The 12245-nt window shown below is 44.2% G+C and overlaps 1 protein-coding gene across 28 annotated transcripts in view, besides 4 other annotated features; it reads right to left on the bottom strand.

Annotated features, from left to right (window-relative positions):
* The window catches only part of ACOXL (acyl-CoA oxidase like), a 385976-nt gene that overhangs the window by 312683 nt on the left and 61048 nt on the right, over positions 1-12245 (bottom strand). For all 28 annotated transcript variants that reach the window (NM_001437600.1, XM_011511414.4, NM_001142807.4 and 25 more), the window contains 6 exons: positions 12130-12216; positions 11692-11790; positions 7142-7256; positions 6766-6852; positions 4142-4214; positions 471-603 (listed from right to left, as the gene is read on the bottom strand). In NM_001437600.1, the coding sequence (NP_001424529.1) occupies positions 471-603; positions 4142-4214; positions 6766-6852; positions 7142-7256; positions 11692-11790; positions 12130-12216 (594 nt within the window). The remainder of the gene's footprint in view (positions 1-470; positions 604-4141; positions 4215-6765; positions 6853-7141; positions 7257-11691; positions 11791-12129; positions 12217-12245) is intronic.
* Positions 3083-3762: an enhancer, noted in NCBI's record as "OCT4-NANOG hESC enhancer chr2:111559681-111560360 (GRCh37/hg19 assembly coordinates)". NCBI's record gives its function as "activates a minimal SCP1, AML or CMV promoter by ChIP-STARR-seq in naive and primed H9 embryonic stem cells {active_cell/tissue: H9 hESC(naive and primed)}" and the evidence as "EXISTENCE:reporter gene assay evidence [ECO:0000049][PMID:30033119]".
* Positions 4609-5214: an enhancer, noted in NCBI's record as "H3K27ac-H3K4me1 hESC enhancer chr2:111558229-111558834 (GRCh37/hg19 assembly coordinates)". NCBI's record gives its function as "activates a minimal SCP1, AML or CMV promoter by ChIP-STARR-seq in primed H9 embryonic stem cells {active_cell/tissue: H9 hESC(primed)}" and the evidence as "EXISTENCE:reporter gene assay evidence [ECO:0000049][PMID:30033119]".
* Positions 5712-6911: an enhancer, noted in NCBI's record as "CDK7 strongly-dependent group 2 enhancer chr2:111556532-111557731 (GRCh37/hg19 assembly coordinates)". NCBI's record gives its function as "activates an origin of replication core promoter dependent on BRD2, BRD4, P300/CBP, MED14 and CDK7 cofactors, with strong dependence on CDK7, by STARR-seq in HCT116 cells {active_cell/tissue: HCT116}" and the evidence as "EXISTENCE:reporter gene assay evidence [ECO:0000049][PMID:35650434]".
* Positions 9262-9461: a silencer, noted in NCBI's record as "fragment chr2:111553982-111554181 (GRCh37/hg19 assembly coordinates)". NCBI's record gives its function as "represses an EF-1alpha promoter that drives an FKBP-Casp9 reporter gene in an ReSE screen in HepG2 liver carcinoma cells {active_cell/tissue: HepG2}" and the evidence as "EXISTENCE:reporter gene assay evidence [ECO:0000049][PMID:32094911]".

The raw sequence follows: 12245 nt of genomic DNA, 5'->3' as shown, positions 1-12245 counted from the left end.
AGGCAGAGATGGCTCCTGGAGGTCTGGTCTCATGGCCTCCAGACTGTGATGGAGAACGTTACACCCTATACAGACACATGAGGATCAACACTCCCAGGTGAATTCAGCCAAGACATGCCGACCTTTGCCCACATGGGCCAACCCTTAGCTGCTTCTCCAGCAGATGTGTTTGCTCTGAACATCCCGTTCTCCCTGGTCATCTCTCCTGGCTCTCTTACCACAATGCCTGTGCTCCACCCCCACGATTAGCAGCACACATCTGGGATGTAGATGGGTGGGAGCCCCTCTTAAGAAGGGTGGAGAAAAGTTCCCTGTGGATGGCCACCTGGCACTCCCCAGCATCTAACCGGGAACCCTGGCCATATTATACCAACTGTGGCTCCAGAAGCTCAGCTCCTGGAATTGTTACTCATCCCTGAGTCGTGAGAGAATTCACAGTAGATAATTAAGTTAAAATCAGAGTCAATTACCTTCATGGCACCCATAGCTTGGAAAGCCACAGCTAATCTCGAAGGGGTCAGTGCTGCCAGCATGGCATTGAATCTTGCACTCTTGTTCCTAATAGGCGAATGGTACTGTCCATCTGGAGCCACGGAACCAAACCTGTGGAAAAGAGAGGTGGGGTTTCACAAAAAAGCAGGACATAGCACCACCAGAAACGAAGTCAGGTGGCTCCCATGTGCATACACAGGGAAGCACTCGGATTTCCCCATCGTGGAACTTCCCCCTTGAGACAGAGCGCCGATAAGGGCAGGGGGAGTCCCTCTCCAAGAGATGCTGAGAAAGGCTTGACTCATGGGAGGTAGTGGTTTCCTGAGACATTAAACCAGCACCGGAGCCTGACTGTGCAGACCGCACACTGACCCACTTTTTAAAAACTGAGATGTAATTCACATGCCATAAAATTCATGTACAATTTGATGGATTTGAGTATAGTCACGAAATTGTACAACCATCACCATGATCCTATTCCAAATCATTTCACCACCCCAAAAAGAAACCCCACCCCACTAGCAGTCCCTCCCCATACTCCCCTCCCTCCAGTCCCTGGCAACCATTCACCTACTTTCTCTCTCTATGGTGCCTGTTCTGGGAAAAAATTCACATAGATGGAATCATATCACATTTGGTCTTTATGTCTGGCTTCTTTCACTTGCATAATGTTTTCAGGGTTCACCTGTGTTGTAGCACGTGTTAGTACTCCATTTCTTTTCATGGTTGAATAGTATTCCATTGTATGGATATACCACATTTTATTTCCTGTTTCCTCAGTCGATGGATATTTGGATTATCTTCCCCTTTTTGCTATTGTGAATAATTATGCTATGGACATTTGTGTATAATTTATTGTGTGGATATAGGTTTGCATTTCTCTTGTAGACAACGTTTTCACACATACCTAGGAGTAGAATTGCTGGGTCATAAGATGATAACTTTACACTTTTGAGGAACGGCCAAACTGATTTCCTAGTTGGTGCCACCATTTTGCAGCCCCACCAGCAATGTATAACAAACAGTCCTAATTTCTCTACATCCTCCCCAACACTTGTTATCGTCTGCCCCTTTAATAAGGGACATCAGTTGGGCATGGTGACTTATGCCTGTAATCCTAGCACTTCGGGAGGCTGAGGTGGGAGGATCATCCGAAGTCAGGATTTCAAGACCAGCCTGGTCAACATGGCAAAACCCCATCTCTACTAAAAACACAAAAATGAGCCAGGCATGGTGGCGCATGCCTGTAATCCCAGGTACTCAGGAGGTTGAGGCAAAAGAATCACTTGAACCCAGGAGGCAGAGGTTGCAGAGAGCCAAGATTACACCACTGCACTTCAGCCTGGGCGACACAGCAAGACTCCATCTCAAAAAAAAAAAAAAAAAAAGACATCCTAGTAGGTGCAGAGTGGTATTCACAGTGGTTTTGATTCGTATCTTCCTAATGGCAACGACATTGAGCATCTTTTCATATGCTTAGCAGTCATTTGTAAATCTTTAGTGAAATGTCTATTCAGATTTTTGCTCATTTTAAAATTGGGTTGTCTTTTTATTCTTGAGCTGTAATAGTTATTTCTATATTGTGGATACTATACCCTTATATTAATATATATGACTTACAAATATTTTCTCCCACTCTGTAGGTTTTCACTTTATTCATAGTGTTCTTTGATGCAAAAAGTTTTTTATAACTTCGATGAAGTCCAATTTATCTATTTTTTCTTTGGTTAGTTGTGCTTTTGGTGCCACGTCTAATAGACTGCTTAAACCCAGGTCACAAAAATTCACACCTGTGTTTTCTTCTAAGATTTGTGTAGTTTTAGCTCTTACATTTAGGTCTGTGATCCATTTTGAGTTGATTTTTGTATATGGTAGGCAGTAAAGGTCCAACTTCATGCTTTTGCATGTGGCTATCTAGTTTGTCCCAGCACCATTTGTCAAAAAGACTATTCTTTCCCCATTGAATTGTCTTGGCTCTGCAGTGGAATATTAATTGATTGTAACTGTAAGGATTTATTTCTAGATTCTTCATTCTATTCCATTGTACATATATCTATCCTTATTCAAATACCACACTGTCTTGATTACTTTGTAGTAAGTTTTCAAATCACAGGTATGAGTCCTCCTACTTTGTTCTTCTTTATCAAGATTGTTTTGGCTATTCTAAGTTTCCTGCATTTCCATATGAATGCTGGTGGTCCTGAGGGGGCCTGGGGGACTTTAGCACCCACCAGGATAACTGTGAAGATGCTTTTATTGTTTCCATTTTATTTCCTATCAATTCACAGGAGGAAAATGTTAAGCAGAATTTGGTCCATTTTAAGTTTTTTTCTTTTTCTTTTTGCTTTATTTTGTTAATTGACATATAATAATTGTACATATTGATGGAATACAGTGTGATGTTTTGATACATTATATATTGTATAATAATAAAATCAGGGTAATTGGCATATTCATCATCTGAAGCATTTATCAATTTTTTGGAATGAGGACATTCAAAACTTGTAACTATTTTGAAATATACAACACATTATTGTTAACTATTATCACGCTGTACAATATCACACCAGAACTTATTTCTTCCATACAACTGTAACAGTATCCATTGACCAACCTCTCCCCATCCCCTCCTCCTCCCTACCTTTCCCAGCCCCTGGTAACCACTATTCTATCCTCTACTTCCTTATCCCTCCATTTTTTTTTAACTTTTATTTTAAGTTCAGGGGTACAAGTACAAGTTTGTTACATAGGTAAACTTGTGTCATGGGGGTTTGTCATACCAATCATTTTTAAGGTTTTTTCCCATATAATTTTCTTAAGCTTTTGGCATCCACTACATTTATCTGCTGGCAACAAAAAGGAGTAAAGCATTCAAGGGAAACCCATGGGGAGGTGGGAAAACAGCTGGTTGTGTGTACCCTGATTGCTGGCTTTGTCACAGATTTAACATGACTATGGCTCAGGATCTTTACTGGATGCGTGAAACGCTGCTGAGAAAATTAAAAGTAATTGGTGTTTCTCAGCTTCTGTGAAAAGCATCATTAACCCCTAGAGCTCCACCCCCAGAACACACCTGGAAGCTGAAAGATGGTGCCTTATCCTCTGCCACTCACAAAGGAAGCAATAGCACCCATCTGTTTGTAATGGCAGGGGGGGGAAGGAAAAAAAACTAAATGCCCAACAATAAGAAATTGATTACATAACTTATAAACCATTTATTTAACAGTCCATTATAGTGATATTAAAGATGATAATGCATGTGTGTGCTTAGCATTACATAAAAACATTTGCTATATAATGATAAATGGGAATTACAGGTTATTTTGAACATAGAATCTAGAAGTGGATCTCGCTTAGTAAAAATCTGACACCTCTCTCTCTTTAGACATATGGGCATAGAGAAAAGTCTGGAAAGATGTATATTGAAGTGTAACAGTCATTATGCCTGGACAACAGCATGCTGAATAATTTTACTTTCTTTTTTCTATCTGCAGACGTATCTTTTCCAATTAGTTGTCAACAAACCTGTACGGGTGGTTAGGGGAAGAATGCCCAGACATGCAGCCCATGAGACCCAAGACCCAAGCCAACTTTGGAGAGCAGTGAGATCATCTGCACCATTGACCTGAGTTAAGGAGAAACTACTCACTTATCCAGCAGGTTCTCCCTGGGTATCCGAACCTTGTCAAATATTAATATCCCATTGTCCACACCATGCAGACCTGGCAAGAATAGAAAGGGGAAATGGATGCAGCATCAGAAGTATTTTCCCTGCTACTTCCCAGGCCTGTCGCCACTAAAATACAAAGCCCCTTATTTTACTTCCAGAATTGTTGGTGCTTTTTCCTTGGGGGTGGACATGGGGATGTTGTCTGTTGTTTCCTTGATGAGCTGTGCCTGTTTCTTCCACCAGCCTGGCCCCTTCCTCCTTAGCGAGAGTGGAGGAGAATGGACTCTCCTTCTGTGCAGCCTGCATGTGCATGCTTTGGGCATGTAGTGGATGCACACCTACCTCCCGAGCAGTGACTGTGATTAAGAAAGGGAGAGTTCTAAGCAACTGCAAGAATGGGAAGCTGAACACAGAGGCAGGGTAGCAGGATTGCTCTCCCCAGGAATGCAGTGCTCAAATCCCTCCTCCTTCCCAGTGCTCTCTCGTCTGCACACAGGGCAAACTGTTGACAGCAAATGCCTACAAGACAAGGGAAAATAGCCACAAGGACAGCAGGAAGTGGGGGAAGCAGTGCGGAGTGGGGAGGGGTGGTCCTGAAATCTGGCAGACACATTTCCTAAAGACACCTGCCAGAGTCTGGGGTCTTCTCTTTGTGAAAACTTAGAGAGATTTAACCTAGGGGAAAACAATCTGTCTTTAGTAAATGTCTTTATTTAGAACTTCACCCCTTGACAAGGACACACTTGCATGTAGCAGCTTACAAGGGCACCAGAGCAGACTTTCTGCCATTGCCAGTGTTTTCAATGCCTGGCACGACTTCACAGAGCTCAGTCTACCCCTCTGCTCTCAGCAACATCTGACATGCAAGGAACTTTCAAGGAGCCCAGCCCAGCCAGGGCCTCGGTCACCCCCGGGAGATACATCTAAAACCCTCACAAACCCACCTGCGGCCATGCCTGCAGCCATGGCAGTGCACAGTAAACACTAAGGGGCCAGGATGGACTGTCCCCTCCACTAAAGGATGGGCCACTTCTTCCCTCTTCTCTTCCTTCTTTTTTTTCTTCTCTCCCAGTCTCCCTTCCTTGGCTTGGCATGATCTTGGCCCTGAGTGGTCACTGGAGCATACAGGCATGTCCTGATCTCACCAAATCTTATGGGTTAAATTGTGTCCTCCCCACAAAAAAAAAAAAAATTCATGTATCAAAGCCCTAATCCTTATACCTGTGTATGTGACCTTATTTGAAGATAGTCTTTACAGATGTGATCAAATTAAAATGAGGTCATTGGGGTAGGCTCTAATCTAAATGGCTTCTGTTCTCTGTAAGATGGGGCAATTTGGAGACAGGCATGAACACAGGGAGAACACCAGGTTAACATGAACACAACCATTTACAGGCCAAAGACACAGTCCTAGAACAAATCCTTCCCTCACTGTGTCTGGAGTTGGTTCCTGCTGGTGGATTCGTGGTCTTGCTGACTTCAAGAATGAAGCCACAGACCTTCATGGTGAGTGTTACAGCTCTTAAAGGTGGCACAGACCGAAAGAGTGAGCAGCATCCAGATTTATTGTGAAGAGTGAAAGAACAAAGCTTCCACAGCAAGTAGCGCGGGTTGCCACTGCTGGCTGGGGTGGCCAGCTTTTCTTTGCTTATTTGTCCCCTCCCATGTTCCGTTTCTGTCCTATCAGAGTGCCCTTTTTACAATCCTCCCCGCGATTGGCTACTTTTAGACTCCTGCTGATTGGTGCATTTTAGAGGGCGCTGGTTAGTGCATTTTAGAGGGCGCTGATTGGTGCATTTTACAGAGCGCTGATTGGTGAGTTTTACAGAGCACTGATTGGTGCATTTCACAATCTTCTTGCTAGTTACACAGCACTGATTGGTGCATTTTTACAGAGCACTGATTGGTGCATTTTACAATCCCCTTGCTAGCTACAGAGCACTGACTGGTGCGTTTCACAATCCTAGCTACAGAGTGCTGATTGGTGCATTTTACAATCCTCTTGTAAGACAGAAAAGTTCTCCAAGTCCCCTCTGGAACCAGGAAGTTCAGCTGGCTTCACCTCTCATCACCACTCTTAGAAGGAGCCAACACTGCTGATACCGTCATCTTGGACTTCCAGCCTCCAGAACTGTGAGACAATACACTTCTGTTGTTTAAGCCCCACAGTTAGCGGTATGGCAGCCCTAGCAAACTAGGGCACTGAGTCAGTCCTCAGGACTCATTAAGGGCCTCAAGAGCACAGAGAGCAGACAGGTGGCCAGGGGTACAAAGAAGAGAGCTACAGCCTGCCCCCTGAGAGCCCCCAAGTCTCAGATGAGAGAAGACAAAACAGGATTGTGGGCAAAACTACCTCATTACTGGAAAATTTGAGAAGCTGGAAGAAACTGAGACCAATGCACATTCATAAAAGGCAATCTACGACATTCCTGAACAGTTCTACATAAAAGACTTCATGAGGCTTCAAAATCTGGACATCTTCTCTGGGGAAGTTTTCTCCACCCTCAGTGCTTCGGTAATATAACGTAGGTTAGATTCTCCTTGAGTCAGGTGGGGAGCAGGTAGGAAGAGTGAGCACAGGAAAAGGGCACCTGGGGACTCACCCTCCTTGTACATCATATCAATAGCTGTGACTCCTGGGTACAAGCTTCCGTTTTCATCCCGGACAGGAACGATGAAACAGTGGGGCCCTAAGGAAGGCATCGAGATCATTATTAAGCTCTCCTTCCTATAGCTTTACTCATGTCCTGGAATAGTATAACATTTCTGTGATCCTCAAACTCATTCAGTTCTACAACTGTGCACCAAGCATGAGAGCATATAATGTCAAAATGTAATGATAAATTTCTTCATGCATATTAGGAGATAAAGTTAGTACTGAATTATTTACAAGATAAAAGCAGCTCTGTGAAATGGTTTTTCACTGGTAAATAGTACTAATGAAGAGAATTATTCTAGTTGTCTGTATTGGTAACAAACCTTGAGATCTTCCATCTATGATGAGCTGGGCAAAGACAGCTGCATAATTCCCGTACATGGCATTTCCAATATACATCTTCTCCGCATTTTCACACGGCGTGTCAATTACAAACTCCTACACAGAAAAAGCAGAGCAACAGTGTTTCCCTTCCCATGGCTCATTTCAACTCCCTGGCTCAAAGCAATGAATACTGTAATCCCAGCACTTTGGGGGGCCGAGGTGGGTGGATCACGAGGTCAGGAGATCGAGACCATCCTGGCTAACATGGTGAAACCCCGTCTCTACTAAAAATACAAAAAATTAGCCAGGCATGGTGGCGGGTGCCTGTAGTCCCAGCTACTCGGGAGGCTGAGGCAGGAGAATGGCGTGAACCTGGGAGGCAGAGCTTGCAGTGAGCCGTGATTGCGCCACTGCACTCCAGCCTGGGCGACAGAGCGAGACTCCATCTCAAAAAAAAAAAAAAAAGCAATGAATACTGTGAAAAACAGAACCACACAGTGCAGGGTTCCGTTTCCAGGGGATTTCACAGCAGAAGAGAAGACAATGGGAAGGTCACCTGGCTCCACGTCTTGAAACCAACATGGCTGTGCTATCACCTCAATTCATTTATTTCACCTCCACCTCAGCTTTGAAAATGGCTGAGATTAAAGTGATTTTTCAAGGAATAATCTGATCCAGAAAATAAGTTGCCAGTTTTCAATCTTTAAAAGGTGTTTGTTCTCTCCCTCCCAGTCTCTCCTCTTTATAATGCCAGGCTGACATGTGTGCTGTTTGGCTGAGCCTGCCTGGCTTTAATGTATAAAGGCTTTCTTCAATTATCTCGCTAGACTACTTCATAGCAAAGTTTTGACCTTTAACTCATCCAACACCAAAACCTCTAAAAGCCCTGGTGGTATATGCTCAGCTCTCCATGCCCCTCATCTCCAAATATCCCACCTGCAAGATTTCTAAGAAAGGATGGAATATCCAACGATCTGGGCCCTTAGATGGCTTGTCCCAGGGTCCGCATCTGTGAGTCGCACTTTGTCTGCTGGTGTTCACTCCTTCTGGGCAAATCACTTGGTTCCTCGCTGTTTCCCAGGCCCTGAACCTTCCTGCCTCCATGACATGGATCTTGGTTTAAATGAAAGCCAGGGAACTGAAGGCCAAAACCGTACGCTTGGATAAAGCAAGACTGATAGACAGCCATGACCTATTCCCACCACTGCTTAGAGTAGCAGCCCAATTTTTATTTTTATAAAAAGAAATCCCTCATTTCAACCTTTGAAAATGTCTCTCTATTTCCCTGATCAATGCATATAATAAAGTTTCCCAAAAGAGGTTCATATGTTCAAGCTCCTAAAATGGAAGAACTTGTAAATGAGTCTCTTTCTTAGGAGGGAAAAATCTTAGAATGTACCATGCAGTTTGTCTCTGAATATGTCCAAGGATTTCAGCTCAAAACAGTCTGAAACTAACACTGGTCATGAAGAAGCAGGAAGAAAACGCAGGGGTTTTGTTCTCAGGCTCGGCTCAAAACTCCGTCTTCTCTGTCCTACTCTCTGGAAGCCGATAGTGGAAATGCTCCCCTCACTTCTTGGCTCTCCCCAGTCTCCACTGCCACCTGGGTTACCTTTAAGCCTCTTGCCAAAAAGGAACTGGCCCTGGTGCCAGCTCTGAATACAGGGCACCTGGGGCAAGTTGGGAGCCCAGGAGAAATGGCAGAGAGTGGAACTGCACATTTAATTGGAGTTGACAGTATTGAAGATGTGACTGAACTAAACCAACAAGCTATTGATCGTGCAAAGATTATCTCAGATTTCAGACTATAAAGTATATAGACAACACTTTCCCGCTGGCCAAGAAATACAGTCTTGAAGCCTAAGAAAACATTCTCTGACATATGTTTGCACAGGGAAACTTTTAACTTGTGCAAGAGCTTTTCAGAAACATAAACGGACATGCTGGATCTTTTTAAGAGATGTCTCTGGAGGCCACCCTTGTCTTATCAGGGTAGCCAGGGCTTCTCAAGGAGAGGCATTGCTTGAGGCTGAGTGCAGAGAAAAATAACAGCAACAAAAATACAACCCATGTGGGTGGGCGCATGCTTACACTCAGGGTAAGAAAGTGAAGTGGCAGAGGAAACATTGGCCTGGCAGAAACGATCTGGTGGGGTGGGGAAGGGAGCAGAAGGCCACCCGTCCCCATAAACATTTGCTACACTCTGGGAAAGGAGGTTTGTCACTTCTGGCAAAATGCTTGATTTGGAAAGTTTGCATCAGCCCAAACTCGGGCATTAAAGCTGCATCTAAATAACACACACCATTGTGTCAGTTTCTGTAATCATTATTTGTTTGAAGGCCAGCAAAATGGTCAGTGTTGTAGGAACTAAAAATGATGCCTTTGGCCAGAGACTTCATAACCTCATTTATTTTTGCTATTTAGAATAAAGTATAAAAATAAAACTCTCTCTTATCTCTTAACTATCCATACCACTACCCAATCCACCTCCCAAAAATAAATGTAAAACAACCAACCCACAGGAATGAATAACCAAAACATGTAAGAGATTTAAATGGTCCTTGGGGAGAGAACACTTATTTAATAAGCTCTAGCATTTTGAAAGGGAAATGAAGGGGAAAACACAGAACCCAGTGAAGGGAGAAATACATTCCTGCTATGTCAGTTCTCGGTGGTATGAGTTTATGATGGGATTGTTCTCTCTCCCAGCCCCACGGGAGACAGTGTTCACCAGAGGCCCCTCGTCATTATGATTGCAACTTTGCAGGTCCCCTATCAGACAGTGGTAGCTGCCGAGGCACGCCAGGTAGCTAAGTCATTTATGCTGTTTGGGGAAAATGGGACCAACACAGGAAATTATTTTTGTAAAAAAGTAATAATTGTAAGAAGAAACAAATAAATAAGAGCTGTGGGTGTTTTCCCCCCATCAACGACAGCAAGGTGACCTTAATACGATGGCTTCGGGAGAGGAAAAAAATCGGCCAGCCAAAAGCCAAAGGATGTTAGGTCAGCATGCCACCACTGGCAGAAAAGCCAAGCTGCTGAGGGCAGTCTCACCCGAACCTAACTCACTCATTAACTGCATAGCCAGAGTCAGCTGCTTAACCTCCGTGAGCCTCTGTTTCCCCATCTGTAAAGTAGGGACAATAATACATTTTCGTAAGGTTACAGAACATTTGAAATGAAATGATGTTACAAGTAGACTGCTTAGCCTGGTACATGGCACAGCCATGCTTAGTTAAAAGGACCAGTTTAATGTTGCGTTCCTGGGACTGTTGCTGGGGGGAAACATAGAATACTACACAGAGGGAGTTTGATACACAGCATGGCACTTTACGAGTGGTCAGTATAGGGTAGTACTTGTTCTTACTATGATCTTGGACATCATTTGCTGCTGGAGAGAACTAACATCAGGGCAGAAGGAAAAGCAGGGCATCCTCCAATACACCCCGCCCCTGCATCTGTCATTCCAGACATTGGCCACCTCCAACCAGCAACCCTGGGTCAGGAAACCCCGCTAACAAAAATCCACCTGCTCAAGGACAAACTGCAAAAATAAAGAATAGACGAAGCAGAGCAGCCACACGGCCAGGCAGCACCCGCAGCCACGCTCGGGCACGTGCTTGCACACACTGACTGACATAGCTTCATTTCTAGAAAGTACCTCAACATTTGTTTATCCCTTTGTAGTTCTTAGGAACACCCAATATCAAGCAAGCAACTATAAAGGAGAGTGAGATAAGTACACAGTTGCTTTCTTTTTTGGTGAGGGGCGGGGGCGGGGTGCGTGTAGGAGTTAAAGAGATGGGCATGAGGGTTACAAAGCAGCGTCCCGAGGGTATGTTATGACCCACTATGGACAGAGATAGCAATGTAGAGAGACTTAGCCAACATCTTTTTAGTTAGCAAGAAGGGAATGGAAAGGAAGAAAAACAGAGAAGGAAAAGAAAGGAAAAGGAAGACAAAGAAAAGAATGAAAAGGAAAAACCTCAGCATTGACCATATAGAGTAAAGGTAGAAGAGTCAGACCGTTTGGTGACACTCTTGTTTCTGTTGTCATGTAAAATGTCAGTGCAGGTCACGGTAAGGGACAGCACATGATCCCAGTACAGAAGACTCAGCTCCTGATAAGGTGGCCCCAGCATAGTGCCCTCCTGACACAGGGCACAGTGGAGAGGACCAACAAAGGCGTCTCCTCCAGTCTGTTCCTGCTACTGCTAGGGACGACTACAAAATGGTTTTAGTGTTGTTCTCTTGGAGTTATGACAAGGGATTAAATTCACAAGTGCACACAAAGTGCTTGAAGCAGTGTTCAGTGCCTCAAAGGCACCATATTGCCTCAAAGGCAACATGCTGGCTGATGTTGGGTACACGAAGGCTGAGCACATATCCACCTCTATTAAAACACTTAGGCATTTGATCTGAATCTCAGCTCCCTGGGCCAGAGAGCACACACAGAGGGTGTGAAGCTGGACACAGAAAGAAGGAGATCTGTTTCTGTCCAGGTTTCCAGCTCCCCTGCACGGCAGGAGAAGGATGGATTCCTCACCTGGGCAGAGAGGTCAAAGGTGGCTTCGGTCTGGATCCCTCTCGCGTTGCTCCCATGGCCCCTCTCGGTCATTGCAAACATCCCAGTGTATTTCTGCTCCTGGAGTTTACCAGATGTTAGAAGGGAATTAGCTGGTCAGGCAGTTGCTCCAAATGCAGACCCCTCGGACCATTAAGAATGGTGGTGAGAGAGGGACAGGTGGGTTGGAGAAAATTATAAAAATGCAGTCTGATGACAGCGAATGTGAGCTTAACAACATGACAGGCCCAATGCAACATAAAAAAGATAGTCTTGGAATTCTCATTTTCAACAAGATTTTTGCTGATACAAATTCTGTTTTATTTTATTTTTCTTCAAACACATACACACATGCATATCTATCTACTACAGATTTTTAAGGCTCTCCATAGAAGACCAATGTTGAGGAAAATACCATACCTGGAGTGGCTGAAACCACTTAGTAACATGTTCAGGGCTTCCGAGATTCCTGATAGCACCACCAAATAGCCAATAAATTATTCCGCACTGGAAACAAGGACAATACAAACCATCAT

Source organism: Homo sapiens, chromosome 2 (assembly GCF_000001405.40).
Source record: "Homo sapiens chromosome 2, GRCh38.p14 Primary Assembly".
Lineage (NCBI taxonomy): Eukaryota > Metazoa > Chordata > Mammalia > Primates > Hominidae > Homo > Homo sapiens.
This window is presented reverse-complemented; position numbering and strand designations above follow the sequence as displayed.